The sequence below is a fragment of the Homo sapiens genome, chromosome 16, assembly GCF_000001405.40.
Source record: "Homo sapiens chromosome 16, GRCh38.p14 Primary Assembly".
Lineage (NCBI taxonomy): Eukaryota > Metazoa > Chordata > Mammalia > Primates > Hominidae > Homo > Homo sapiens.
The window spans coordinates 89,838,683-89,866,180 of record NC_000016.10 but is presented as its reverse complement, the minus strand read 5'-3'; the positions used below and the strand labels follow the sequence as shown (position 1 = coordinate 89,866,180).

Below are 27,498 nucleotides of genomic sequence, written 5' to 3'. Positions count from 1 at the left end.
TTTTACAGATAAAATTAGGTGATTTTTTTTTCCCAGACAGGTCTTGCTCTGTCACCCAGGCTGGAGTGCAGTGACACCGTCATAGCTCACTGCAGCCTTGACCTCCTTGGCTCAAGTGATCCTCCCACCTCAGCCTCCCAAAGTGCTGGGATTATAGGCATGAGCTACCATATCCACCATATCCAGCCTTACCTTTTTTTTTTTTTTTTTTTTTTGAGACAGTCTCCCTCTGTTGCCCAGTCTGGAGTGCAGTGGCGCGATCTCGGCTCACTGCACCCTCCACCTCACAGGTTCAAGCAGTTCTCCTGCCTCAGCCTCCCGAGTAGCTGGGACTACAGGCACCCGCCACCACGCCCAGCTAATTTTTTGTATTTTTAGTAGAGACAGGGTTTCATCGTGTTAGCCAGGATGGTCTCGATCTCCCGACCTCGTGATCTGCCAGCGTTGGCCTCCCAAAGTGCTGGGATCAAGGTGTGAGCCACCGCGCCCGGCCCAGCCTTACTTTTTTATTCAGTCTGGGAAATTCTAACTTTTACTTGGGTCGTGTGGATGACTTACAGTTAATGTGATGCGAGATACAGTTGTGTTTAAGGCTGTCATTTGCTATTTGTTTTGTTTTTGACTCATTTGTTTGTTCTCCTTCTTTTCCTACCTTTTTTTGGATTAATTACTGTTTATGGTCCCATCTTATCTCCTTTGTTGGCTTATTAGCTGTAACTGTTTTATTTTAGTGGTTGCTTTAGGACTTATGGTATACATCTTTAACTTATCACAGTCTACCTTTAAGTAATATTTGTATAGCGTGTATAATACCTTACTATACCTTATCATAGTGATTCACCTTACCATAGTGAACCTTAAAATAGTATACTTCTGGCCAGGCGCGGTGGCTTACGCCTGTAATCCCAACACTTTGGGAGGCAGAGGTGGGCAGATCCTGAGGTCAGGGGATCGAGACCATCCTGGCTAACATGGTGAAACCCCATCTCTACTAAAAATACAAAAAATTAGCTGGGAGTGGTAGCAGGTGCCTGTAGACCCAGCTACTCGGGAAGCTGAGGCAGGAGAATGGTGGGAACTCAGGAGGCGGAGCTTACAGTGAGCCAAGATCGTGCCACTGCACTCCAGCCTGGGCGCCAGAGCGAGACTCCTTCTCAAAAAAAAAAAAAAAAAAAAGGAAAAAAAGTATACTTCCAATTTTCCCCTCTCCCTGACCTTCATGCTAACTGCTGTTATCAACACTACTTACACACGTGTTACAAAACCCACAATACATTGTAATTAATTTTGTCTTGTTTTTTGCATGCCACACATTTTATCTTGCTGAGTACTGGTTTGTTTTTTTGTTGATGTTTAAAAAATTCTTATTCTTGAGCTTTGTTCTCAGAATCAGTTAAGATACTTGTGAACAGTTTGATCCTTTCAGGTCTTGCTTTTATGATGTATCAGTCAGGCCTAGAGCAACAATCACTTTGGGCTACTTACTCCACGTTAGTGAGGCGAGTCCTTTGTGTGCATTCCAGTTAGTGCCCTGTGAATTATGACATTTCTGCCTGTGGCCGGTGGAAACCGATGTTACTCATTCCTGCCCCTGAGCACCGTCCCTTCAGATCTTTAGAACAAGGGAAGGTAAATTTTTTGTGTAAAGGGCCAGAGAATAAACCTTTTAGGCGTGGCTGAGCGAGTAATAAATGGGTGTGGCTGTGTCCAGTGAGATTTTACTTGCAAAACAGGCCGAGGACCAGATTTGGCCCGTGGCTATAGTCTGCCAATCTCTGCTTTAGGATAAATGTTCTGCAGCCTTCAGTCATTTCCTTCAGAGAGGGGGACCTTCTCTGAGGCTTTCTCGGCGCAGCCCTCTCCTCTGGAGTTCTACACGGCGGACTCGAGCTGCTGTGGTCTCCCTGGATTCTCAGCCTGACCTCCTCCATCTGGGGAGTCCGGCAGCTGTGGCTCATGACCTAGAAACTCTCCAGGCAATGACTGTGGTGATGGCAGGCTTGCCCCGTTGTGTTTCCTTTTTGTTGCCTGCTGTCTTGAAAACCATTGTTTCACATCCTGTTTGTTCTTGGCTGTGGAAGATGCCTATTACCCCATCTTGGCTGAAACTGGGAGTTGCTTAGCTATTTAAATTTAATTTAATTTAAATACAATTTAAAATTTAACTCCTCATTCGTACTAACCATATCTTGTGGACTCATCAGCCATCGAACATGCTAGAACATTCCTGGAATCACAGGAAGTTCTGTGGGCGGTACTGCCCCGAGGTTTCTCGCCTCCTCCTTCCCTTGTGAACTGACAGCTAAAGGGAAGGCTCACCTCTTGCAGAAGAGACAGCTGGGCGGCCACGAGAACAGCGGGAACTTGGCCCGGCAGCAGCAGCAAATCTGTCAGGAGAGACTGGTTAGAGCCCCGCTTTGTCCAAAGCTCCCTGGGGTCCCGCCCTGTCCCTGCTACCCCCTCAGGGCTCCCAACCAGATCATGAGCAAACAGTCCTGGGAACTGGCCCTCTCGGCACCCGCCCCTGACCCAGCGGGCAAGAGCGTAGCCCCACGTCTAGGCAGCCTCACCTTCCCCTTCTTCAGACTGCTGAAGAGCTCCTTGTTCTGCAAAAACTTTTCCATCTCGGCCTTCACCAGCACACGGCGCACGTCCATCACCTCTTCCACAGTCAGCGCCAGGCTCTCCACGGGGTGGCTGAACTCCTAGGGGACGGCCTCAGGTAGGAAGTCTTCTATGCAGGAGGCTCCCCTAGCTTACTCTCCTTCCCTGAGGACCCTAACCCTCCCTGGCCTCAGCCTAAACAAGCCTGCGACCTTCTAAAACGCTGTCCATCAGCCATCTTGTCCATCAGCCATCCATCCCCATGTCTTTGATGGGCCCTGCTGCTGCAGGCCAGGCCTCCCATGACCAGCGGACCCTGCCGGCCAGCCCAGCCTTCACTGGCCACGCTCCACACAAACTCCCCTCAGCCCATGTCTGTTCAAGGTGTCCCTGCCTGCAAACACACCATGGGCTGATCCACACCAGCCAGAATCCATCTCAAACCTTCCCTCCCTGAGCAGCTGATGTCCTCTTTTCTGGAAGGTCCAGGACCCTCCAACAGGCCACCTCAGCTTGCATCTGCCCATCTGCGCTCAGCACACCTCCCGTGTCCTGGCCACTGATTCCTGGGGCCACCTTATGTTGAGTGTGTCCTGTTTTTGCTTCCCTGTGCTTGGCATAGAACTTGACACCTGATCTCTCTAAGCCTCAGTTTTCTCTTCTGTAAAATGGGGCTGGATTTCAGCTCCATCGAGATGATTCAGTTAAAGCCCTTAAACACACTGCCAGCACAGCGTTCGCAGTGTCGGTCATCACTGCCAAGGCAGGTGGGCACCATCTATGAAGGTGCCACAGAGATGGAGTTGGACCATGTTTTCTGCTTTGGATTTGCAGTGGGTTGTCCTGTCTAAAGCTGTGAACACACGCTCCTGGCATTGGGGGGAGCGGGGCCCTTGCATTCCTTCCTTCCTCTGACCTGAGGCACCCAGGGCTTTAGGCTTCTGTTGCCAGTTGCCTGATGGTGCCGTTTCCATCTGAACAATTCACCTCAGGTGCCACAGGTGTGACGCCAACAACGTCCGTGGCCAGGAGACCTCACGCCAGGTACAGAGAAGGGCCGCCTGCTCCCCAGGTGAGGCTGTGAGCCCAGGGCAGATGGAAGGCCAGGTTCTGTGGTGCTCAGTAGCCCCCCTTCAGAAAGCACTTCTGAGACTTCAGAGCTAAAGAACCACTCATGTGACCTGTGGTCATCTTAAATGTGTCCTCTAATTCCTTAAGAAGTGGGCCTTGGCCGGGTGCGGTGGCTCACGCCTGTGATCCCAGCACTTTGGGAGGCCGAAGAGGGCGGATGACGAGGTCAGGTCCCAGCACTTTGGGAGGCCGAAGAGGGCGGATGATGAGGTCAGGAGATCGAAACCATCCTGGCTAACACGATGAAACCCCGTCTCTACTAAAAATACAAAAAATTAGCCGGGTGCGGTGGTGGGCGCCTGTAGTCCCAGCTACTCGGGAGGCTGAGGCAGGAGAATGGCATGAACCCGGGAGGCGGAGCTTGCAGTGAGCCGAGATGGCGCCACTGCACTCCAGCCTGGGCGACAGAGCCAGACTCTTGTCTCAAAAAAAAAAAAAAAAAGAAGTGGGCCTTAATTCTCTCCCTCCCCTTGAGAATAGGCTGGACTTAGTGACTCATTCCTAGTGAGTTGGGACAATGTGGCACTGCTGGACTTGGTCATAAATACTCAGTGGCTTTCACTGCGCTCACTCTTGAACCACGTGCTCTGGGGGACGCCAGCCACCACGCTGTGGGGATCCCCAAGCAGCCCGAGAGAGGCCTACACAGCAAGGGACTCACGCCTCCTGCTCACAGCTGGGTGAAGACGCCACTTCAGACGGCTCCTCCAGCCCCGATTTGACCCTTCAGTCGAGATCAGGCCCCACTGCCATCCTAACTGCAGCCTCACGAAAGACCCTGAGCCATGGCCACACAGCTAAGACACTGCCGGAGTCCCAACCCTCAGAAACTGTGAGATAATATATATTTGTTATTTTAAGATGCTGCATTTTGAGGTAACTTTTGATGCAGTGATATATAGCTAATCCTAGGCTAACGGGGCAAGCCCTGCCTTCGGTGGGATACGACCTAGGCTAACAGGGCAGGCCCTGCGTTTCGGTGGGGATACGCACAGTGCCTTGCATTTATATAAGGCTCATAGTTCTCAAAGCATTTTAACATCTGTTCTCATCTGAGCCGCTGGATAAAACCTCAAATAGTGACAGCAACCACACCGTTCACATCCCTCCAACACCTGCATGCTGCCACCGTGGCCCACGGGCCGCACACTCCCCTTACCTCAGTTGATTAAATCCTGCACCAGAACTCAGGTCCACGTGGGCCTCAAGATGTCAGCAAAGGTGAGCTCTTCACAATTACAGGTCAGATAAGAAACCGAGGGCAGAGGGGCTGAGCAGTACCGTGGCGGCGTCACGGCCAGAGTCAAGGTCTCGACCCAGTGAACCCCCCTCACACTGACCTCCAGGCACAGGGCACGCAGGTTCACCGTCTGCCCTAACCCCACACTGAACCCTTCAATTAGGGACCAGGCTCCGGGGCCGCAGTGCAGTGCGGTTCGGCCCCAGCAGGCGGCAGCAGAGACCACGGCCCCAGACCAGCAGCTCCACCACTGGTGCCCCATGTTCAGACCGCGCCCCCCCAGACGGACGCTCAGGCCACACCCCCCAGACAGGTGCTCAGACCCATCTCCCAGACCTGGCTGGCGGCGGGAAGGTGGGTGCAAAGACGCCCCCTGGGCCGCCCTGGACGACAATCGCACCCTCACTCACCAGCCACAGGTGTTTGGCATCGGGGGTCATGGAGGCCTCGGGTCTGTCCCCCGAGGAGCCCCGGTTGCTGAGTAGGGGGTGGCTGGGGTCAGAGACACTCGCGGGACAGGTACCTGGGGGAGAGCAGAGGCTCCATCAGGACTGCCTGGCAGGAGCTGTGGTAAAGAGGACTGTGCCCAGGGGATGATAGAGATGGTGGAGGGCTCCAGGGGAACCAAGCAAAAGGTCAAGGGGAGAAGCGGCCGGGCAGTAGCTACACGGGCAGTTCTAGCACTTAGGAGGCCGAGGCGGGTGGAACCTTGAGCCTAGGAGCTTGAGACCACCCTGGGCAACGTAGCGAGACCCTCAGCTCTATAGAAAAATATAAAAGTTAGGCAGGCATCGTGAAACATGTCGGTAGTCCTAGCTACTCAGGAGGCTGAGGCGGGAGGATTGCTTGAGCCCAGGAGGCCAAGGCTGCAGTGAGCTATAATGGTACCTCTGCACTCCAGCCTGGGCAGCAGAGCAAGACCTTGTCTCAAAAAGAAGAAAAAAGCGAAGAGGGTGGCTCCAACATTAGGACATTCATCGGGGCCCATGTGGTATAGAGGGTCCACAGGACCCCGGAAGGGCCCCCGTGTCTGAGCCCCAGAATGAGCTGGCATGGGCAGTCCCACAGCAGCAGTGAGCCAGACCCTCCTCCTGCAGTCCACACCTCACACTGGAGCTGGGGTCGACCTCCCTCCCTCCACCAACTCCCAGAGGCTGAGGCACAGCTCCAGGTGGGGGAGGCCGAGGTTAAGTAAGTGTGAGGTTTGGAACTGGCCTGGCCTGGACCTCTTAACACTGGGAAGGGGCTGTAAGCACCAAACACGATTGTCCCGAGACTCTGGCCCCACAGGCAGACAAGGAGGCCTGGCCGTGCCTGCTGGGATGTGGTGGTGGGGAGACAAGAACCCTGAGTCGCGAGGGCTCTCCGTAAAGTTCAGCCCTCACGGTGGTAGGACCAGCCCTGCACAGCCAGCAAGAATCGTTCTGTGCTCAGCAGCGCGAAAAGGAGTCGAAGGAATCACGGCTCAGGTTCCAGAGCCATGTGCTGCGAGCCCAGCCGGCTCCCCACGGACACACGGCTCCCTTCCCAGAGGACTAGAAGGGTCTATCACTCATCTAGTTAGCTATCTTTCTATATCCCAAAGTTAATTATGTCTAGGTAATAGAATCATGAGAATTCTTTTTAAATATTAAAAAATATTTTTATAATAAATATGCATTACTTAGTAAGTTTTCAAGTTAAACAAAAGGAGATGCCTGCCTGAGGTGGTGCCGTCTTGCAGGCACGAGCTCCCTGGGTCCCTGGGAGCTGCCTGCTCAGGAAGATGTGGGCTGAGGTGGAGGGATGGTGCCCACAGGATGGATCGGGGTGGGGGCGAAGGAGGGTACGGGGGTGAGAAGCAGCACTTGCCCTGGTCTCGGGAGCCGGGCCTCCACACATGCGCACTGCCAGCTCGGGGCCGTGGTGGCTCCGTCCCTCCTGGGGGGTGGGTGGCCGACTGCAGGCCAGAGGCCACCTCACTTCGGAGCTGGGCCAGGTCATGCTCTGAGAAGGAGCGGTCCCGTTTCAGCGTCACCTCCCCACACGGAGACTCTTCTTCCTGTGGACACACCAGACGCGGCCCTGCCCTGACAATGCCCGCCAGTGCCTCCTGCCCATGCCTGGAATGAAGCAGAGGACCCAGGGGTGCCGCAGGGTCTGCTGCGATGTGGGGCAGCCTCCACCCACTTCCCAGCCTGCCCGCCTCTGGACAGTTCGTGGCAAGCACCCGAGTAACCAAGCCCTTCCCCAGGCCTTCCGGAAAGGGACAGGTCTAGTGTCAGACGGAGGCAGAGCCCTCTGGGATGGCCCCCAACAAGGCCATCACCAGCCCTTCCTGTGAAGAGAGGAGCGTCCCATTCACAGGGCAGCCAGGGTGGGCAGGGAGCCTCGCTGGGTCCACCTTTTCACATCAACTAGCCAGGGGCTCAGTTTCCGGGGCCTGGGACAGCGAGGCACTTCCGCTGTCAGCCTTCCATCGTCTGTGGGAGGAGGCAGCCCAGGCCCTCTCCCAGTCACCCTTCTGAGCGGCCAAGATGGCAGGGTCCCCGATCCCCACAGGCCTCCTCCTACGGCAGGATGTCAGTTTCAAGGGAGGGCTCCTGGACAGGAGACACCGCAATTGCTGCTGCCCCCGGCTTAGCTTAGCCCTTCTCACTTCCTTGGCCCCCATCCTCCCATTCCTGGTCTCTTTTCAGGAATCCCCATGGGTTCTGACCTCAGATGTATTCATCTCTTCCATTTCAGCCAAGGTAGGCGCCTTGAGCAGCACGCGGGGCCGCGGGCGCTGGGCGCTGCCCCCAGCATCTGTGACTGACAGGTTGATGCAGGAGGTGGACTTGGCATCTCCGGAGCAGGCGTTGAGGATGCAGGGCAGAGAGCCAAACCCTGGGGAGACGGGAGCCGAGGCAGGACGGGCCAGTGAACGGGGAGACAGCAGGCAGGAGCTGACAGCTTTGTGTGCACCAGCTGGCTTAATTCCCTGACTTTGCAGAAGGGGAAACTGAGGGCTAGCCAGCCATTTAAAAAAATGAGGAACTAGGCCGGGCGCGGTGGCTCACGCCTGTAATCCCAGCACTTTGGGAGGCCAAGGCGGGTGGATCACGAGGTCAGGAGATCGAGACCATCCTGGCTAACATGGTGAAACCCTGTCTCTACTAAAAAATACAAAAAAAATTAGCCAGGCGTGGTGGCACGCGCCTGTAGTCCCAGCTACTCGGGAAGCTAAGGCAGGAGAATGGCGTGAACCCAGGAGGTAGAGCTTGCAGTGAGCCGAGATCACGCCACTGCACTCCAGCCTGGACAACAGAGCGAGACTCTGTCTCAAAAAAAAAAAAAAAAAAAGAAGAAGAACTAGGCTGGGTGCGGTGGCTCACGCCTGTAATCCCTGCACTTTGGGAGGCTGATGCGGGTGGATCACCTGAGGTCAAGAGTTTGAGACCAGCCTGACCAACATGGAGAAACCCCGTCTCTACTAAAAATACAAAATTAGCTGGGTGTGGTGGCGCGTGCCTGTAATCCCAGCTACCCGGGAGGCTGAGGCAGGAGAATCGCTTGAACCCAGGAGGTGGAGGTTGCAGTGAGCTGAGATAGCGCCACTGCACTCCAGCCTGGGCAAAAAGGGCGAAACTCCATCTCAAAAAAAAAAAAGGAAAAGAAAAGAAAAACATTTTAAAAATTTGCTTTTATTCTATTTTCTTCTAAATGCTGAAATATGTCATACTATTGTAAACTATGTAGAGTGGCAAATACAGGTGAAGACCAGGACAATAGGGTATAAGATCATGTTAGGCAGGGAATGGTGGCTCACACCCATAATCCCAGCACTTCGGGAAGCTGAGGCAGAAGGATCACTTGAGCCCACGAGTTCAACACCAGCCTGGGCAACAGAGTGAGACCCTGTCTCTACAAAAAACACAAAAATTAGCCGGGCGTGGTGGTGCATGCCTGTCATCACACTACTCGAGAGGCTGAGGTGGGAGGATTGCTTGAGCCTGAGAGGTTGAGGCTGCAGTGAACTATAATGGTGCCACTGCACTACAGCCGGGGTGACAGAGTGATACCCTATCTCAAAAAAAAAAAAAAAAAAGATATAGGAAATTCCAATGGCCTTGTAAAGTTTTTAATGAGAGGCATAAAAAGTGATTTTTTTTTTTTTTTGAAACGAGGTCTCACTCTGTCACCCAGTCTAGAGGGCAGTGGTGCAATCATGGGTCACTTCGGCATCAACTTCTCAGGTTCAAGCAATCCTCCCACCTCAGCCCCTGGAGCACCTGGGATTACAGCCATGTGCCACCACACCTGGCTAATTTTTCTTTGAAATTTTTGGCAGAGATGAGGTCTCACTATATTGCCCAGGCTGGTCTCGATCTCCTGGGCTCAAGTGATCCTCCCGCCTCAGCATCCCAAAATGCTGGGATTACAAGGCATGAGCTACTGAGCCCAGCCTCATCATTTTTTATTTTTGGCCAGGTGCAGTGGTTCACACCTGTAATGCCAGCATTTTGGGAGGCCAAGGCAGGCAGATCACTTGAGCCCAGGAGTTTGTGTCCAGTCTGGCCAATATGGTGAAACCCCGTCTCTACTAAAACTACAAAAAAAAAAAAAAAAAAAATTAGCCAGGCGTGGTGGCACGTGCCTGTAATCCCAGCTGCCCAGGAAGCTGAGGCATGAGCATCACTTGAACCCGGGGGGCGGAGGTTGCAGTGAGCCGAGGTCGCTCCACTGCACTCCATCCTGGGCGACAGAGCAAGACTCCATCTCAAACAAATATATATATATATAATTTTAATTTAATTTAAATTTTTTATCCCCAAGTAATCTGAGTTTCAAAAGCCTGTGTGCCTCAAAAATTAAGATGTTCTGTGTCTTCCATGGGTTCAGGCGCCCTCAGGGAGACGCCACCTTCCAATGTGCAACCTGACCAGGGGAATGGGGGAACCCCAGCCGGGGGCTCAGGGCTCTCTTCTCCTGCCATCCCCTCACTCACCGCGGGCAGCCCAGCCCTCGCCCCGCACCGGGCGCAGCCTCCGCTCCTGCTTGATCTCCTCCAGGATCTTCTCATGCAGGGACCTTTGCTTTGGTGGCAACGGGCGCAGCCGCCTCTCAGAGACCTGCGGTGGGGAAGCGAGACCTGCGGTGGGGAAGCAGGACCTGCGGTGGGGAAGCGGGACCTGCGGTGGGGAAGCGGGACCTGTGGTGGGGAAGTGACCATGACACGGGCCCACTCTGGAGTCGGAAGAGCCTGCCAGGCCCACCCGGAGGGAGTGCTGCTCCCAGGGGGCTCTGGGCTCCGCATGCACCTGGGGTGGGGTGGGCATGGCTCACATGGCCCCTTCCCAGAAAAAGGGCCCAGGGCCACACAGCCCCGGGCTGGCACACAGGCAAGAGGAAGCCAGCCCGCCTCACCCGTGACGCAGACGCACTGGGACACCTCCCAGGCTGGCCACAGGAAGACGTGCTGGGACACCTCCCAGGCTGGCTACAGGACAGCACCAGGCCCCGGGCGGCCCCTGAGGAGGAGGAGGCTGGGGCAGCACCTGCTTCAGTGGAGGCCGTGAGCGGATAAAGTCCAGGATGAGCTCGTGAGCGTCCTTCTTCACCCGGGGCGGGATGTCCCCATCCACCTGCGGGGAGGACGGCTGATCTGAGGCCCTGCAGGGACCATCCACTAGTGCAGGGCGACTGGGAGAGGCCTGCTCAGCCCAAGGACAGCCTGGTCTTCGCACCTACCCGCCCTCCCACTCTTTGCTCGCAGGGACCCAGCTGCTTCCCTGGTAAACGCACGGCAGATCCACAGGCCATGCTCTGGGCGGCCACAGCATCCATGGTCTGACGCGTCCCCACCTGGCTGCCCCAGCCTCTAGCACCTGGGACTCATCTGGAGGTGGGGTGGGGTGGCACACACCTCACAGGGGCATCATAAGAACCATGCCGGCGCCTCCTAAGGGCTCCATGAGTTTTGTTACGGCAAAAATATCCTACAGCCAGGCCAGGCAGGTGGCTCACATCTGTAATCCTGGCACTTTGGGAGGCCGAGGTGGGCAGATCACAAGGTCAGGAGATCGAGACCATCGTGGCTAACACAGTGAAACCCCATCTCTACTAAAAATACAAAAAATTAGCCAGGCGTGGTGGCGGGCGCCTGTAGTCCCAGCTACTTGGGAGGCTAAGGCAGGAGAATCGCTTGAACCCAGGAGGTGGAGCTTGCAGTGAGCCAAGGTCGCACCATTGCCCTCCAGCCTGGGCGACAGAGCGAGACTCCGTCTCAAAAAAGAAAAAAAAAATCCTACAGCCTTGGCTCTTGTGGCCTCCAGGGGCCATTCCTGGACCTCCAGAACCTTCCACACTTCCTTTCCCTGCCTGGTCACTGTCCCTGAAGTGATATCAAGCTGTGGGAATTGGGACCACATCTCCCTAATCCATATTTTATGACCCAGTACCCAGCACAGAGAGCAGGGACCCTGGGCCGCTCTCTGGGGTGGGCTGCCCAACATCCAGGCTGCTCATCTGCGTCCGCCCCGCTCACCACGACCTCTGCATCCAGGCTGCCCCTCTGCGTCTGCCCCGCTCACCATGACCTTGCGCAGCTTGTAGTTCCGGGCCCGGATGTCCTGCATCAGCATCTCGAAGGGCGTGAGCTGGAACTCGGTGGGGAGGGGGTTGAACTCCTGCTCTTGCACCTTCTTCAGCTTCACTCCGCGGCGGAGCTCCCGCATGAGCTGAACCCACAGTCGGGCCTGGGCCCCAGGGGAAGAGAATGGGTCTCAGCCCCAGGTGAAGCTCCACGGCCCCCCAGGCAGAGACCCTTGGCAGGCTGGGCCGCGTCAGTGGCCCGGTCAGGTGGGAGTGAGCCTTACCCAGTCTGTGTGACCCAGGCTGTCCAGCTCTGCCCGAGGCGTCTCCAGATGCGGCTCGTCCTCCCGAAGCTTCTGCAGCATCTGTGACCACACGTGCTCGTCAGTCCAGGGGAGGTACGAGAATGGCAGATGCAAGACGGGCCCCGTCCGTCAGGGACACGACCACGTCACGGGGGCTCCACTCGACCAGCCGGAAAAGAGACAGCTGGGCATTTTGGCCCAGGCCATAGGACTCGAAAAGGTATCTGGGGAAACCGAGCCATCGCCACAGGCGGCGGACACAGGTGTGGAGACTCCACTCAGTCCACACAGCATTTCCTCAGGTGGGCCATGCACCCTGCCACCCCCGAGTCCCCGCAGCTGCTCTAGGTCCCAGCCAGGCCTTTACGCTGAGCTGCTTCTCTGAGTAGCGTCTGGGGCTCAGCGCAGTGTGGCACAGGCCAGTCTTTGTGCATGGCTTGGGTGAATGGATACGTGGTGGACAGGTGGATGGGAGGGTGGATGAGCTGCTGCCTGGCAAGTCCAGGGAAACAGACATGGGTATGTACTTTGTGAACTGGGGAAGGTGCCAACACTGTGGTGAGGGCCTGTTTGGGAAGCGCTCTGTGCTGAGAACTTGGGAAGAAGGCGCGGCACCTGCTGCCTCCGTCACGCACGATCTCGGTGGCACGCAGCCTCTGCTGTCACGAAGTCCCAACTCTAGAGAAGCACCTACCCTTTGGCACAGCCCCCACAACCAAGGCAGAACCGGTCACCCTGGCTTCGGCCCCAGGTACCCGCCACACTGCTTTGGGACACTCCCTGGGCAGCGTGAGGTGTGTGTCTGCCCACAGGCCTCATGTATGCCAGCCCAGGGCAAAGGGCACAGAGGGTGGCACTCCTGTCCTTCCGGGAACACCTGTACCTGTTCCTGAGCAGGCCGCTCCTGGCCAAAATGCCAACAGACACAGCTACACCCCATGGAGAGACCCTTCTCTCACTTGGTCCTACTACCAATTCCCCAAACTTCGCCTCAGTCAACTGCCTGCATACAGAGCCGTTTCCTCCTAAAGAAAGTGCTTTCTGGCCGGGAACAGTGGCTCATAGCTGTAACCCCAGCACTCTGGGAGGCCGAAGTGGGAGGATCACTTGAGCCCAAGAGTTTGAGACCAGCCTGGGCAACAGAGTAAGACTGTGTCTCTAAGAATGAAAGAGCTTTCACTGGGTAAGAAACTGATCTGAGCAGCAGAAAACAGCCTGATCAGAGACACAACAGCAGGAGGACCGTCTGCTAATTGTGGGGAACGTTAGAAGCATGTCCCAGGAGGCCAAGGGGGAGCTGAGAGAGAGGACGGAAGATGGGCCATGGGATCTTGAGGGTGAGAGGGAGGATGGAAGACGGGCCATGGGATCCGGGGGGTGAGAGGGAGGATGGAAGACGGGCCATGGGATGCGGGGGGTGAGAGGGAGGACGGAAGACGGGCCATGGGATCCGGGGGGTGAGAGGGAGGACGGAAGAGGGGCCATGGGATGCGGGGGGTGAGAGGGAGGACGGAAGACGGGCCATGGGATCCGGGGGGTGAGAGGGAGGACGGAAGACGGGCCATGGGATCCGGGGGGTGAGAGGGAGGACGGAAGACGGGCCATGGGATCCGGGGGGTGAGAGGGAGGACGGAAGACGGATCATGGGATCCGGGGGGTGAGAGAGAAGACGGATGACGGGCCATGGGATCCGGGGGGTGAGAGGGAGGACGGAAGACGGGCCAGGGGATCTGGGGGGTGGAGGGAGGATGGAAGATGGGCCAGGGGATCCAGGGGGTGGGGAGAGGACGGAAGATGGGCCAGGGGATCCGGGGGGTGGAGGGAGGATGGAAGATGGGCCATGGGATCTGGGGGGTGGGGGGAGGATGGAAGATGGGCCATGGGATCTGGTGGGTGGGGAGAGGATGGAAGATGGGCCATGGGATCTGGGGGGTGGGGGGAGGATGGAAGATGGGCCATGGGATCTGGGGGGTGGGGGGAGGATGGAAGATGGGCCATGGAATATGGGGGGTGGGGGGAGGATGGAAGATGGGCCATGGGATCTGGTGGGTGGGGAGAGGATGGAAGATGGGCCATGGGATCTGGTGGGTGGGGGGAGGATGGAAGATGGGCCATGGGATCTGGGGGGTGGGGGGAGGATGGAAGATGGGCCATGGGATCTGGTGGGTGGGGAGAGGATGGAAGATGGGCCATGGGATCTGGGGGGTGGGGGGAGGATGGAAGATGGGCCATGGGATCTGGTGGGTGGGGGGAGGATGGAAGATGGGCCAGGGGATCTGGCGGGTTGGGGGAGGATGGAAGATGGGCCAGGGGATCTGGGGGGTGGGGGGAGAGCCGTCCAACCTTGGCACACGCTTGGGCTGCAGATGAGGCCGAGCAGCTCAGGCTGCCACCCGGCGTCAAAACCACCTGCAAAGGCTCAGAGGGTTCGGGAAGCTGGCCAGGAACCTTCCTCGGTTAGAGGACAGGAGAGACACAGCACCATAAAGGGTCAGGGAGGAATGACAGACCAGCACTAGTTAACTTCGAAAACACCTTCTGCCACCGAGGCAAGAGGGAATCCCCTGCCTCTCCAAGGCCTGGCGTTCTCCTCCATGAGATGCTGACGGGATAAAAGGCAGAGCCCATGTGTGCAGAGACCCCACGACACAGAAACACATCAGCTCCCTTGGGGCAGCAGCCGTGCCCAGGGAGAGGCTGAGAGAGTCAGAGAGGGATGGTTGCTCCTAACTCTGAGTCCACGGAGAGATAGGAGGCCCAGGGGAGAGCTCCGGCTTGGGAGCCACGTCGGAGCCTAGCACTGCCCGACTCTTGCTTTGTGGCTTCGGGCAAGGGTCCCAGCCTTAGAGCCTGCACTTGCTCATCTGTCAAGTGACCCCTCCACCTGTAAGGGGCAGGAGAATGAGGCTGGGTTGTCACAGGCCCAGCAAGTGGGCTTTCTCACCGAACGGCCCGTCCCCACCCAAAGCTCCAAGCAAGTCGCTGAGCCTCCCTGTGGTTCCTGCGTATAGAGGGGGCCACCTTTGGCATCATATTTCAGAAGGAACCAGGGCCTGGAGAGGCTGGTGGGGAGGCAGGAGGAAGGGCGCTCTCTTGCAGATGTAAAAGTGGAGGAAGAGAGAATAATGCGCGCTGGGAGAGGATAACAACTCAGGCAACGGGAGAGAGCAGTTGGGGAAGAGGCTGAGCCCACCACTTAACTTCTCTGGTAAGAAGAAAGTGTGAGGCCAGGCGTGGTGGCTCATGCCTGTAATCCCAGCACTTTGGGAGGCCGACGCAGATGGATCACCTGAGGTCAGGAGTTCGAGACCAGCTTGGCCAACATGGTGAAACCCCGTCTCTACTACCAGGCATGGTGGTGGGCACCTGTAATCCCAGCTACCTGGGAGCCTGTGGCAGGAGAATTGCTTGAACCTGGGAGGCGGAGGTTGCAGTGAGCCGAGATCGAGCCACTACCCCTCCAGCCTGGGTGACAGAGTGAGACCCTGTCTAAAAAAACAACAACAACAACAAAAAAACAACAAGAAAGCGTGAGGATTAAGTGGGAATACATAATGCCAGCGGCAGTCGCACCGACGACCTGACTTTCTGTCCACGAAGAGACGTCCTTGCCAGTCCCCTCCCACCCACTGCTCCCCTCCCTGGCCTCCCGGACCCTCCACGGTCGCCCCCACCCACCGCTCACCTCCTTGGCCTCCCGGACCCTGGCCAGGAAGGCCCGCAGCTCCAGCGTCTCCACGAAGAGCGCGCGGCACACGGCCTGGTAATGCGCCTGTGCGCCCCGGGGGTCGGTCAGCCGCGCCGCGCACAGCCGCATGGCCTGGGCAAAGGTGCGCACGCTGCGGGGGACGCCCTCGGCCTCCTCCTCCTCCTCGGGACCCCCGTAGCCCTCATCGGCGGCACCGCAGCCGCTGTCCTCGCTGTCGTTGTTGGCCATGAGGTCGATGAGCCGCTCCAGCTGAGGGCTGAGTTCGCGCTCCTCGCTCTCGTCCAGCCCCCAGTCCAGCGCGCGGTAGATGGCGAAGCCGAGGGACTGCACGGTCTGCGGGACAGGGGCGCGGTCACTGGGCGGTACTGCAGGGGGGTGGGGCGGGGAGAACGCGGCTGGTGGGTGCAGAGGGCCCAGCACCCGGCCAGGGAGACAGCAGCTGTCGGTCCACAAGAGACCAAGGCACAAGCAAGACATGGACCGGATGAAAAGGATGTTCCCGGCCGGGCGCGGTGGCCCACACCTGTAATCCCAGCACTTTGGGAGGCCGAGGCGGGCGGATCACGAGGTCAGGAGTTCAAGACCAGCCTGACCAACATGATGAAACCCCGTCTCTACTAAAAATACAAAAATTAGCTGGGCGTGGTGGTGCACGCCTGAAATCCCATTTACTTGGGAGGCTGAGGCAGGAGAATCGCTTGAACCTGGGAGGTGGAGGTTGCAGTGAACCGAGATCGGGCCTCTGCACTCCAGCCTGGGTGACAAAGCAAGACTCTGTCTCAAAAAAAAAAAGAAGTTTTTTTAAAAGCACATTAAAAATTAGTGAAGCTTCACAGTAGCGACCTCTTAACTCAGCATTTCTCGATTTTACTTGACAGGGACCCTGACTTTCATAATCTACCACGAAGGGCACCAGTGGTTCTGTGGAGTGATATGGGGGTGCCGACCTGCCCACCCTAGTCACCATCGTCTGCACCGACTTCCAGGCCCACAGGCCCAGGTGGTCCCCAGGTGGCCAGGTCTGCTGGGACAGGCAGGCAGAGGCAGCACAGTCGGACACAGGAGGTCGATGGACAATTACACGGACACTCTCAGCTGCACAGTGCTGTGTTCCATGTCTTAAAGGGTTCTCATAGTTTCGCTTTACAACAAGGAAAGAAAGACCCACACACACAAATATAACGACAGCACTCCTTATGTCAGATGCTGTGCCGGGCCCTGCACATCACGTACCAACCTCACCTCGAGCCACACTGACGTGGGGACAGGGACGGAGGCATGGAGAGGTCGGTCCCCTTGAACACAGTCTCGACTGCCCAAGCTGGATCAGGACGGGCGGCTGCTCATGGCCCCTCTCTCAGCTCTGTGCCACACTGCCAGGGTGGGGGGCCATGGTGTGGCAGATGGAGCCACGCCTCCCCCAGGCACTGTCCACTTCCTGGGGCCGCTTTGCCTCAGTGGCCCTGCAGGGGGGCCCTTTGGCCTCTCATTTCCTGTGTTCCTTCCCCACCACCCACTGCTGGGAGCCCAGGAAACCTGATCCTGAGCCGGGCAGAACAAGAACAGGTGAAAGTCAGGCCAGGACAAGGCCCAAGAACACAGCCTCGTCTGTCCTGCAGAAACGCCACAGAAGGCCCTGGAACCTGCCTCGTCTGTCCTGCAGAAACACCACAGAAGGCCCTGGAACCTGCCTCGTCTGTCCTGCAGAAACACTGCAGAAGGCCCTGGAACCTGCCTCATCTGTCCTGCAGAAACGCCGCAGAAGGCCCTGGAACCTGCCTCGTCTGACCTGCAAAAAAGCCGCAGAAGGCCCTGGAACCTGCCTCGTCTGTCCTGCAGAAACACCACAGAAGGTCCTGGAACCTGCCTCGTCTGTCCTGCAGAAACACCACAGAAGGCCCTGGAACCTGCCTCGTCTGTCCTGTAGAAACACTGCAGAAGGCCCTGGAACCTGCCTCATCTGTCCTGCAGAAACGCCGCAGAAGGCCCTGGAACCTGCCTCATCTGTCCTGCAGAAACGCCGCAGAAGGCCCTGGAACCTGCCTCGTCTGTCCTGCAGAAATACTGTAGAAGGCCCTGGAACCTGCCTCGTCTGTCCTGCAGAAACACCACAGAAGGCCCTGGAACCTGCCTCGTCTGTCCTGCAGAAACGCCGCAGAAGGCCCTGGAACCTGCCTCGTCTGTCCTGCAGAAACGCCACAGAAGGCCCTGGAACCTGCAAGGGCACTGGTGGGAAGTATATCAGTGGGAGTGGAGCCCCAGCCCACCTTGGGGGCTCACTGTTATCTCATCTCTGCTGTAGGCGGGCAAGACACATCCTAGAATCAAGGTCAGAGGGCGCTGCAGCAGCCAAGGCCTAACAGCCACACCCGACCAGTGACAGCAGGGCCCTGGCCAGGGCTCGGGGGGTCACCTGGGGCAAGGGACCTCCAGAGAGGAATCTGAGGGCCCCTCCTGGGCACAGTGACAGAGGGCGGGGTGTGAGGAAGCCGACTGGAAGAGCCGCTGTTCACACAAATTCCCAGAGGGAAGGGCAGGGAAGGACAGCGTAGCGGGAAATGTGTTTCCCACCTGCTCCGGGTGGGGCTGGCCTCAGCTCGTGCTGTCCCTGGTCGCGTGGCTCCGATTGTGCCTCGTGGCACAGGACAGACAGAGGGAGGAAGCAGCAAAGCCCCCAACCCCCACACGGTCCACAGCAGCACCCAGCCCCTCTAGGCCACTCCCTGCTTTTCCTGATCACATTACTGAAAGGGTTAACTCCAACCCGAGCCTCTTATCTGAAGGCTGCGTCCATAAAAGCTCTTCTGTGCCCAGGTCACTGGCAACTTTCTCTGAAAAGCAAAAAACTTGCTTTCCCATAAGGAAAATTCTGGGCAGGCAGCCAGTCTCAGGGCCTCCCACCTCCACCCGCCCACAGCAGGTGCAGGCCTGGGGCAGCAGGTGGGCAGTACTGCCAGCCCAGGACACCTGCCCAGTAACTGAGGGGCTGTGCAGTCATTTCATGGAATCCAGGAGCGAGACGTTAAGGAACTCCTTTGCCGTCTTTCCTGGGGACAGGGCGATCAGGTTAACGTATGCGCCTCTGAGACAAACAGTCCAGGCTGCGTCCCTGCATACCAAGCTCTCTGTAAAACGTTTAAGATGTACCACGGCAGGCCCCCTTTGGAAGGTCTTCCAGGCGGTAGGCAGCAGCTGCTCTGTTTGGAGACTCGGGACAGCAGGGCCAGCCGGCCTCCCAGCCCTGGAGTCCTGGACTTCAGAAAGGTAAACTGTCCCGTGTACAACGCAACAGTGAGACACACGACAACCGGACACAGCCACACAGACAGGCCCCCACTCACGTCCCAGGACACTACGTATAGCACAATGGCATCTCCACACACAGAGCTGCCAGGCAACCTGAGCGCATGCAGTCTAAACATCCCCGCCCCGAGGTTCTCCACGGTGGCAGGTGCCTTATCACTGAATTGTTAAGTGCTGTTTGTGGTGACATAGACTTCGGTTTTATTATTGTTTTTAAATTATCAACAACAGAACACACAGCCTCTTTTGGTCTGTGTCACACCCACCCTGGGTATACCACCATGTTTAATAATATATCAATAGGTCTTGCGGTAAATCTATGTTGTTTTCTTCTTGTTTTTTTTTTTTTAAACAATTAATCTCACTTGGGCATGAAAAACTTTTACAAAAGACAGAAGACACTCGGGAGACTGAGGCAGGAGAATTGCTTGAACCCGGGAGGCGGCGGTTGCAGTGAGCCAAGATCACGCCACTGGACTCCCCCTGGGCAACAAGAGGGTAGATCTAAAAAAAAAAAAAAAAAGGCTGGGCGTGATGGCTCACACCTGTAATCCCAGCAGTTTGGGAGGCTGAGGTGGGTGAATCATGAGGTCAGGAGTTTGAGACCATCCTGGCCAACATGGTGAAACCCCACTTCTACTAAAAATACAAAAATTAGCCGGGCATGGTGGCGGGCGCCTGTAGTCCCAGCTACTTGAGAGGCTGGCCAGGAGAATGGCGTGAACCCGGGAGGCGGAGGTTGCAGTGAGCCAAGATCACGCCACTGCACTCCAGCCTGGTGACAGAGAGAGACTCTGTCTCAAAAACAAAAAAAAACACAAAAATTAGCCAGGCGTGGTGGCATGCGCCTGTAATCTCAGCTACTCGGGAGGCTGAGGCAGGAGAATTGCTTGAACCCAGGAGACGGAGGTTGCGCTGCAACTAGCCGAGGTTGCAGTGAGCTGAGATCGCACCACTGCAGTCCAACCTGGGTGACAGAGGGAGATTCTATCTCAAAAAAAAAAAGAGGCCAGGCACAGTGGCTCAGAACTGTAATCCCAGCACTTTGGGAGGCCAAGTGGGAGGATGGCTTGAGCCCAGGAGTTTGAGACTAGTCCGGGCAACATAGTGAGACATCTCTATTAAAAAATAAAATAAGGCCGGGCGCGGTGGCTCACTCCTGTAATCCCAGCACTTTGGGAGGCCGAGGCAGGTGAATCACAAGGTCAGGACATCAAGACCATCCTGGCTAACACGGTGAAACCCCGTCTCTACTAAAAATAGAAAAAAATTAGCCGGGCGTGGTGGCGGGCACCAGTAGTCCCAGCTACTTGGGAGGCTGAGGCAGGAGAAAGGTGTGAACCCGGGAGGCGGAGCTTGCAGTAAGCCGAGATCACACCACTGCACTCCAGCCTGGGCGACAGAGCGCGACTCCATCTCAAAACAATAAAATAAAATAAAATGAACAAAAGCAAAAAAAACAAAGAAAGAAAACTAAAAAGGCAGTAGAAAGTGGAAACATGACGTTCCAGACATGACTTCAGGGCAGGTGAATGGGAGAGGAAGGCCCTGCCCTGCGGTGAGGTTCCAGTTTTGGTCGGGTGGGGTTTCGGGGCACTGGTCACCAGGCTGATTTTTCCTGTTTGCACCTGAAGTCGTCTCCCTGACCCCGGCTCTGTGTCTGGGAGGCCGGCCCTGCAGACGTCAGCTGTGCCCCTCATCTGTGCAGCTGTGGAAGGAAGTAACACCACTGCCTCCTCCAGGCCGGAAGCACCACGGGGACCCTCCCCACCCCGGCGGTCTCCTCCACGTCTGCTCTCTGTGAACAGCGTTTCATCCAGTCCCTGCAACTAAGCCTGTTGGGTACTTCATCTGCACCCTGCCTCCCTGAAACAACTGTGTAACTATATATGTTTTATGATTTACATTTTAAGATGCAGGTACGTTTTAACACACATCAAGTAATACTTGGAATTTTTTAAAAAGTACCTGGGCTTCCGAGCTGGCTAGTGGCACGACCATGGTTGCAGGTTCTGTAAGAGAAGAGGGAGTTAAGTTATTTGTCAGCATCCCCGGGACCCCAATAAACACTGCTGTCCCCCCACCTCCCCCTCGGGGACACACACCACAGCCCCACTCTCCGCCGGAACACCAGAAAGCTCACAGCAGGCCCAGCCACTTGGTCATTTGGACGAACACCCATGAGGCCCGGCTCGAGCTGGCTCTAAGCAGGACACCCAGGTACAGGGGCCGGGAGAGCAAGGCAACCCCTACTTGCAGAAGGATGATGGTCAGCTTGTGGACAGACCCCCAGTGCCCCACGCAGCAGCCCCTCCATGGTGACCACTCAAAGGCGAGTCAGGGCTGGAGAGCAGCCAACAGGTCCCACAGTCTGTCCCGGGCACTGCAGGAGGCTGCCCCTAGGGAAACATGGCTGGGAGTAAGAGTGAAGGAGGGGCAGGTGGAGTAGGAGGCCAGATGTGGTGGCTCACACCTATAATCCCAGCACTTTGAGATGCCGAGGTGGGAGAGCTGCTAGCAGCCAGGAGTTCAAAACCAGCCTGGACAACATAGTAAGCCCCTGTGGCTACAAAAAATTTTAAAATTACTTTGGGAGGGCCAGGCGCGGTGGCTCACGCCTGTAATCCCGGCACTTTGGGAGGCTGAGGCAGGCGGATCACAACGTCAGGAGATCGGGGCCATCCTGGCTAACACGGTGAAACCCCGTCTGTACTAAAAATACAAAAAATTAGCCAGGCGTGGTGGCGGGCACCTGTAGTCCCAGCTACTCGGGAGGGTGATGCAGGAGAATGGCGTGAACCCAGGAGGCAGAGCTTGCAGTGAGCCGAGATTGCACCACTGCACTCCAGCCTGGGCAACAGAGTGAGACTCTGTCTCAAAAAAAAAAAAAATTACTTTGGGAGGCTGAGGTGGGTGGACCACTTGAGGCTAGCAGTTCAAGACCAGCCTGACCAACATGATGAAACCCTATCTCTACTAAAAGTACAAAATACAAAAATGAGCCAGGCATAGTGGAGAGCACCTGTAATCCCAGCTACTCAGGAGACTGAGGCGTGAGAATCGCTTGAACCCAGGAGATGGAGGCTGCAGGTGGAGGCTGACCCAAGATCATGCCACTGCACTTCAGCTTGGGCAACAGAGCGTGACTGCATCTCAAAAAATATATAAAAATAAAAATAAAAAAATTAGCCAGGCGTGGTGGCAGGTGCCTGTAGTCCTGCTACTCGGGAGGACCTCTTGAGCCCAGGAGGTTGAGGCTGCAGTGAGCCAAGATTGCACCAGTGCACACCAGCCTGGGCGACAGAGTGAGACCCTGTCTCAAAAAAAAAAAAAGGCCAGGCACGGCAGCTCATGCCTGTAATCTCAGCACTTTGAGGTGCCACGGCGGGTGGATCACTTAAGATTAGGAGTTTGAGACCAGCCTGGGCCACATATCGAAACCTCATCTCTCCAAAAAATACATAAAAATAGCTGGGCATGGTAGTGCATATATGTAGTCCTAGCTACTCGGGAGACTGAGGTGGGAGGATCACTTGAGCCTGAGGGGTGGAGGTTGCAGTGAACCGAGATCACGCCACTGCATTCCAGCCTGGGCAACAAAGCGAGACTCTGTCTCAAAAAAAAAAAAAAAAAAACAAAAAACAAAAACAAACAAAAAAAAAAAAACGTGGCAGCAAGGCAGCAGCTCCATCCATCGAGGCACATCTTCAGGAAAGAACCTGTGGTCTGAGATGAGACACACCACCTGCCTGGGACTGAGGTTGTGCACACTGAAATCACAGCAGTCAGATGAGAAACCCCGGGTCAGAGGGAGAGACAGACTTTGCAGAGCAGGTAAGTCGGCATCTGACTGAGACCACCGATTTGGAGATGTCCCCCCAAGACTGTTTATGCCTCTTAGAGAACCACAGTCCGAGTGGAAATGCAGGTGGAAGCTGGAGTCACGTATTTCATTGATGAAACCTGGCCCTGAGGGAGGCCCGGGAGCGAACCTGCCTTTTGCCGGTGCTCACGCTGGAGCTGGTTGCTCCACTTCCCGTTTCACAGATGAGGAAACAGAGACCGGAGGATGAATCTGTTTGCTCCAAGGTATCAGGGCTGATAAGTGCCAGGAGTGGGGCCAGGCCGTGGGGCCCAGGGTCTGTGCTCCCCAACCCTCCTCCCCCGGGGTTCCCAAGATGCTGCGCTGGGTGGGATGCAAAACATCCACCCGATTCTACAGCCTTCCTTGAACTGGGCATGCAGGTGGGACTGTGCTAGAACAAGAGCTCCAGCTGCCTGGAATTCTTTCTGGAATGAGGTAAGATGTATATATGCGTCTATATCTAAGCCATGAAATCATCTGCTCAGTGGACCTGCTAACTCCACAAATATTTTCAAAATGCCATCAAGAACCAGGAAGATTGCCAAAGATAAAGGGAGCCTGCTCCATTAACATAATGGAAAGCAATCCACCCCCGCATCAGTGGAGTTCATAGAACAATGTGTGGCCCACGGTGGGGGTGTGGGTCCCCAGGGCCTGGGCAGTCCTGGCCCGCGCTGGGCGTTCAGCACGTTTGCAGCTGTGATTGGGCCGAGGCCATGGGAAGGTGGAAGACATCAGACCCAAACAAAGGTGCTCCCTGGAACAGACCAGGGCCCTGTGGGGAAGGGCTGACTGGTGGCCGGCTGGCCCTTCAGTGCCTTCACAGACTAAGCCCACATCAGGCGAGGTCCTCAGTGCATGGGAAGCTTCTGGTTGGAATAATTTTAATGTTTGTGCCTCTGGCTCAAATACTCCATAGGTTAACAAAAAAAGTTGTATCAAAATTAAATGTTCACGGCCGGGCACGGTGGCTCACGCCTGTAATCCCAGCACTTCGGGAGGCCGAAGTGGGTGGATCACCTGAGGTCAGGAGTTCAAGACCAGTCTGGCCAACATGGCAAAACCCCGTTTCTACTAAAAATACAAAAATTAGCTGGGCATGGTGGCACATGCCTGTAATCCCAGCTACTTGGGAGGCTGAGAGAGGAGAATCGCTTGAACCCAGGAGGTGGAGGTTGCAGTGAGTCAAGATGGTGCCACTGCACTCCAGCCTGGGCAACAGAGTGAGACTCCGTCACAAAAAAAAAAAAAAAAAAAAAATTACGTGTTCATGAATCTAATTGTATTTAAGCTGCAAAGACTTGGGGTGTCTCTGGGTTCTGAGATGAGAGATTATCTGGGGGAGACTTGGGGGCCGACAGAGGCCTTTGCAGTCAGAGCCCGAGCCCAGGATGTTATAAAACTCAGATGTTATAAAACTAGATGTTAAAAAATTATTTACTGTGGGGTGCGGTGGCTCACGCCTGTAATCCCAGCACTTTGGGAGGCTGAGGTAGGCGGATCACCTGAGGTCAGGAGTTGGAGACCAGCCTGACCAACAGGGAGAAACCCCACCTCTCCTAAAAATACAAAATTAGCCGGGCATGGTGGCGCATGCCTGTAATCCCAGCTACTCGGGAGGAACACGCCTGTAATCCCAGCTACTTGGGAGGCTGAGGCAAGAGAACGGCTTGAACCTGGGAGGTGGAGGTTGCGGTGAGCCGAGATCGTGCCACTGCACTCCAGCCTGGGTAACAAAAGCAAAACTCCATCTCAAAAAAAAAAAAATTATTTACCGTGGCCTCTATCTGCGCAGCCATCCCATAAAGGTTGGTGCCATAATTTCCTCGTTACAGATGAGGAAATCGAGGCTCAGGCAGGTTGAGAAACTTACCCAAGACCATACCCCTAATAAATGGGGCAGCTGGGCCACCGAGCATGGCCAGACCACAGCAAGCAACCCAGCCGAACACCCAGGTATAAGTGCATACAGAGCTACCACAACCACGTCACCAACGTGGCCACAGAGCTACCACAACCACGTCACCAACGTGGCCACATGGGGTTATGCAAACCACCTTTTGCTTATCTAAAAAATTCTCTCCAGGGTAGAGCAGACGGAGGCAGTAAGGACCCCAGATTCTCATCAAGTCTATTAGTGCCATGCTAAGGTGGGAGGCAGAACCAGGACCCCTCGTTTCCATCCACCACTAAGAGTTAAGAGCCTATTTCTCCCTGCAGGGAAGCACAGCCTCAATGAGAGAAGAAAAGCCACCTGAGTTTCTTTTTCCTTTTTTTTTTTTTTTGAAACAAGGTGTTGCTCTGTCACCCAGGCTGGAGTGCAGTGGTGTAATCATGGCTCACTGCAGCCATGACTTCCTGGGCTCAAGCGATCCTCCCGCCTCAGCCTCCCAAAGTGCTGGGAGTACAGGTGTGAGCTACTGCACCTGACTCAGATTTCTTTTGTGTAAAATAACAAATGACTAGAACAAAGATGCTAGGGAGTCTTCTTTGAAACAATCCTGTGTGTGCTTGTAAAAGATGACAGGTTTCAGCTGGGCGCGGTGGCTCACGCCTGTAATCCCAGCACTTTGGGAGGCCGAGGCAGGCGGATCATGAGGTCAGGAGATCGAGACCATCCTGGCTAACACGGTGAAACCCCGTCTCTACTAAAAAATACAAAAAAATAAGCTGGGCGTGGTGGCGGGCACCTGTAGTCCCAGCTACTCGGGAGGCTGAGGCAGGAGAATGGCGTGAACCTGGGAGGCGGAGTTTGCAGTGAGCCGAGATTGCGCCATTGCACTCCAGCCTGGGCGACAGAGTGACTCCATCTCAAAAAAAAAAAAAAAAAAATTTGAAAACTTTTTATTTTTATGCAAACCATCTCCAACTTTTGAGAGAAACATTACGGTAACATTAAAATATAACTTTGAAAGGATTTGGGCCAGACATGGTGGCTCATGCCTGTAATCCAGCACTTTGGGAGGCCGAGGCGGGCGGATCCCAAGGTCAGGAGATCGAAACCATCCTGGCTAACACGGTGAAACCCCGTCTCTACTAAAAATCTAAAAAATTAGCCAGGCCTGGTGGCGGGCGCCTGTAGTCCCAGTTATTCGGGAGGCTGAGACAGGAGAATGATGTGAACCCGGGAGGTGGAGCTTGCAGTGAGCCGAGATCGCGCCACTGCACTCCAGCCTGGACGACAGAGCGAGACTCCGTCTCAAAAAAAAAAAAAAAAAAAAAAGATGACAGGTTTCATTTGGAAGAGGGATGTCTGTGGGACATTTGCTGCCTGCAGCTCCTCCAGCAGCTTCAAGAGGAAGGTCGTCCCACACTGCAGGGAGGTGGGTGGTGGACAGAGGTTACCAGGCAGCCTCAGCCTCCATCTGCTTGGGAGCGTCAGCCTAGCCCGACAAGGGGTTTGGTGGGAGGTCAGATCCTGACCAACCTGTGGCTACTGGCGCTGGGTGTCTTGCCCCTGTGACCTCACTTCCTCACCTGCAGGACAGAGATGACTCCTGCTCAATCTCACGCATGGCGTTACCTCGAATAACAAGTCAGGTGGCAGACACACACAGGCATGATCATCAGTGACAATGGCAGTGAGGCCACCAGGGCCCCCTGGCCAGGCTTGGCCCAAGGCTGCCCTGCCTTTGACTCTCTTAGCCTTGGGGTCAGGACAGGGATGGCTCTGGGGGAGCCCATGCTCTCTGCATGGGAAGGGGTACGACTCCCCTTTTCACCCCACCCCCAGAGGAAGACCTCACACATCTTGATGAGGCCATAGCATTTGGCTACATTGGGCCCAACCCCCGCACGTGGCCGCTGCTTAAACGCTGACTGTGAGTGAAGCCATCTCTGATCTCTCCCGCCTCCAGGGGTTTCCTGCTTCCCAGGTCTCAGGCTGAGTGCTCTCAGAAGCACCAGGGCCAGGGCAGACAGGGGGACGCAGCACACCCATTCCTGGCAGACCCACGAACTAGCAACAGCCCAAAGCAGGCACCCTGCAGCAACTTTCAAATCAGCGCCGCCCCCCACCCACTGCCAACACTCCTGGAAGGCACAGGCACCCGGCCACACACCCATGACATCCCTAACAGTTTTTTTTTTTTTTTTGAGATGGAGTCTCGCTCTGTCGCCCAGGCTGGAGTGCAGTGGCGCGATCTCGGCTCACTGCAATCTCTGCCTCCTGGGTTCATGCCATTCTCCTGCCTCAGCCTCCTAAGTAGATGGGACTACAGGCGCCCGCCACCACGCCCAGCTAATTTTTTGTATTTTTAGTAATTTTTTTGTATTTAGTAATTTTTGTATTTTTAGAGATGGGGTTTCACCATGTTAGCCAGGATGGTCTCGATCTCCTGACCTCGTGATCCACCCGCCTTGGCCTCCCAAAGTGCTGGGATTACAGGCGTGAGCCACAGCGCCCAGCCCCCTCCTAACAGTTTAACACTCGAAACACAGATGTGTCCACTTGAGACACGTCTGTAATCCCAGCACTTTGGGAGGCCGAGGCAGATAGATCACCTGAGGTAAAAGGTTCAAGACCAGCCTGGCCAACATGGTGAAACCCCGTCTCTACTAGATTGCACACAGGGACACTGGGCAGCCATGAAAGAGAACAAGAGCCCTTTGTGCGGAGAAAACCCAAGACCCACACTGAGGAAAAGAGAGGGGAGCCCCTGAGTGCAGGAGGAGACAGAGCCACCTGCCTGCTGCACAGATGAAAAACACTCCTAGCACGGGCTGTTGGACACCCTTCATTGCACTCTGCACTTTGATTTGGAGCATGTGGATGTGCGAGTGTCAA

The 27,498-nt window shown here is 55.7% G+C and overlaps 1 protein-coding gene across 1 annotated transcript in view, besides 9 other annotated features; it reads right to left on the bottom strand.

Moving 5' to 3' along the window:
* Window positions 1-27,498, bottom strand: part of SPIRE2 (spire type actin nucleation factor 2) — a 42,845-nt gene that overhangs the window by 5,139 nt on the left and 10,208 nt on the right. Inside the window, exons 2-12 of the mRNA NM_032451.2 lie at window positions 20,816-20,859; window positions 15,521-15,877; window positions 11,815-11,895; window positions 11,530-11,694; window positions 10,495-10,581; window positions 9,945-10,068; window positions 7,674-7,843; window positions 6,827-7,016; window positions 5,386-5,498; window positions 2,571-2,705; window positions 2,320-2,387 (exon numbers count right to left, since the gene is read on the bottom strand). Coding sequence (NP_115827.1) covers window positions 2,320-2,387; window positions 2,571-2,705; window positions 5,386-5,498; window positions 6,827-7,016; window positions 7,674-7,843; window positions 9,945-10,068; window positions 10,495-10,581; window positions 11,530-11,694; window positions 11,815-11,895; window positions 15,521-15,877; window positions 20,816-20,859 — 1,534 coding nt within the window. The remainder of the gene's footprint in view (window positions 1-2,319; window positions 2,388-2,570; window positions 2,706-5,385; window positions 5,499-6,826; window positions 7,017-7,673; window positions 7,844-9,944; window positions 10,069-10,494; window positions 10,582-11,529; window positions 11,695-11,814; window positions 11,896-15,520; window positions 15,878-20,815; window positions 20,860-27,498) is intronic.
* Window positions 1,692-1,781: an enhancer, noted in NCBI's record as "active region_11425". NCBI's record gives its function as "activates an Ori minimal core promoter by ATAC-STARR-seq in GM12878 lymphoblastoid cells {active_cell/tissue: GM12878}" and the evidence as "EXISTENCE:reporter gene assay evidence [ECO:0000049][PMID:35858748]".
* Window positions 1,842-1,921: an enhancer, noted in NCBI's record as "active region_11424". NCBI's record gives its function as "activates an Ori minimal core promoter by ATAC-STARR-seq in GM12878 lymphoblastoid cells {active_cell/tissue: GM12878}" and the evidence as "EXISTENCE:reporter gene assay evidence [ECO:0000049][PMID:35858748]".
* Window positions 5,024-5,113: an enhancer, noted in NCBI's record as "active region_11423". NCBI's record gives its function as "activates an Ori minimal core promoter by ATAC-STARR-seq in GM12878 lymphoblastoid cells {active_cell/tissue: GM12878}" and the evidence as "EXISTENCE:reporter gene assay evidence [ECO:0000049][PMID:35858748]".
* Window positions 11,224-11,724: an enhancer, noted in NCBI's record as "H3K4me1 hESC enhancer chr16:89920865-89921365 (GRCh37/hg19 assembly coordinates)". NCBI's record gives its function as "activates a minimal SCP1, AML or CMV promoter by ChIP-STARR-seq in naive H9 embryonic stem cells {active_cell/tissue: H9 hESC(naive)}" and the evidence as "EXISTENCE:reporter gene assay evidence [ECO:0000049][PMID:30033119]".
* Window positions 11,725-12,225: an enhancer, noted in NCBI's record as "H3K4me1 hESC enhancer chr16:89920364-89920864 (GRCh37/hg19 assembly coordinates)". NCBI's record gives its function as "activates a minimal SCP1, AML or CMV promoter by ChIP-STARR-seq in primed H9 embryonic stem cells {active_cell/tissue: H9 hESC(primed)}" and the evidence as "EXISTENCE:reporter gene assay evidence [ECO:0000049][PMID:30033119]".
* Window positions 17,666-18,284: an enhancer, noted in NCBI's record as "H3K4me1 hESC enhancer chr16:89914305-89914923 (GRCh37/hg19 assembly coordinates)". NCBI's record gives its function as "activates a minimal SCP1, AML or CMV promoter by ChIP-STARR-seq in naive H9 embryonic stem cells {active_cell/tissue: H9 hESC(naive)}" and the evidence as "EXISTENCE:reporter gene assay evidence [ECO:0000049][PMID:30033119]".
* Window positions 18,285-18,904: an enhancer, noted in NCBI's record as "H3K4me1 hESC enhancer chr16:89913685-89914304 (GRCh37/hg19 assembly coordinates)". NCBI's record gives its function as "activates a minimal SCP1, AML or CMV promoter by ChIP-STARR-seq in naive H9 embryonic stem cells {active_cell/tissue: H9 hESC(naive)}" and the evidence as "EXISTENCE:reporter gene assay evidence [ECO:0000049][PMID:30033119]".
* Window positions 19,109-19,253: an enhancer, noted in NCBI's record as "145 bp 16:89913406 sequence used in MPRA reporter constructs". NCBI's record gives its function as "activates a minimal TATA-containing promoter with rs36100920 allelic activity by MPRAs in C283T melanocytes {active_cell/tissue: C283T}" and the evidence as "EXISTENCE:reporter gene assay evidence [ECO:0000049][PMID:36423637]".
* Window positions 19,181-19,182: a transcriptional cis regulatory region, noted in NCBI's record as "rs36100920 or 16:89913406 MPRA-significant variant associated with a GWAS melanoma risk locus at 16q24.3". NCBI's record gives its function as "allelic transcriptional activity by MPRAs in C283T melanocytes {active_cell/tissue: C283T}" and the evidence as "EXISTENCE:reporter gene assay evidence [ECO:0000049][PMID:36423637]".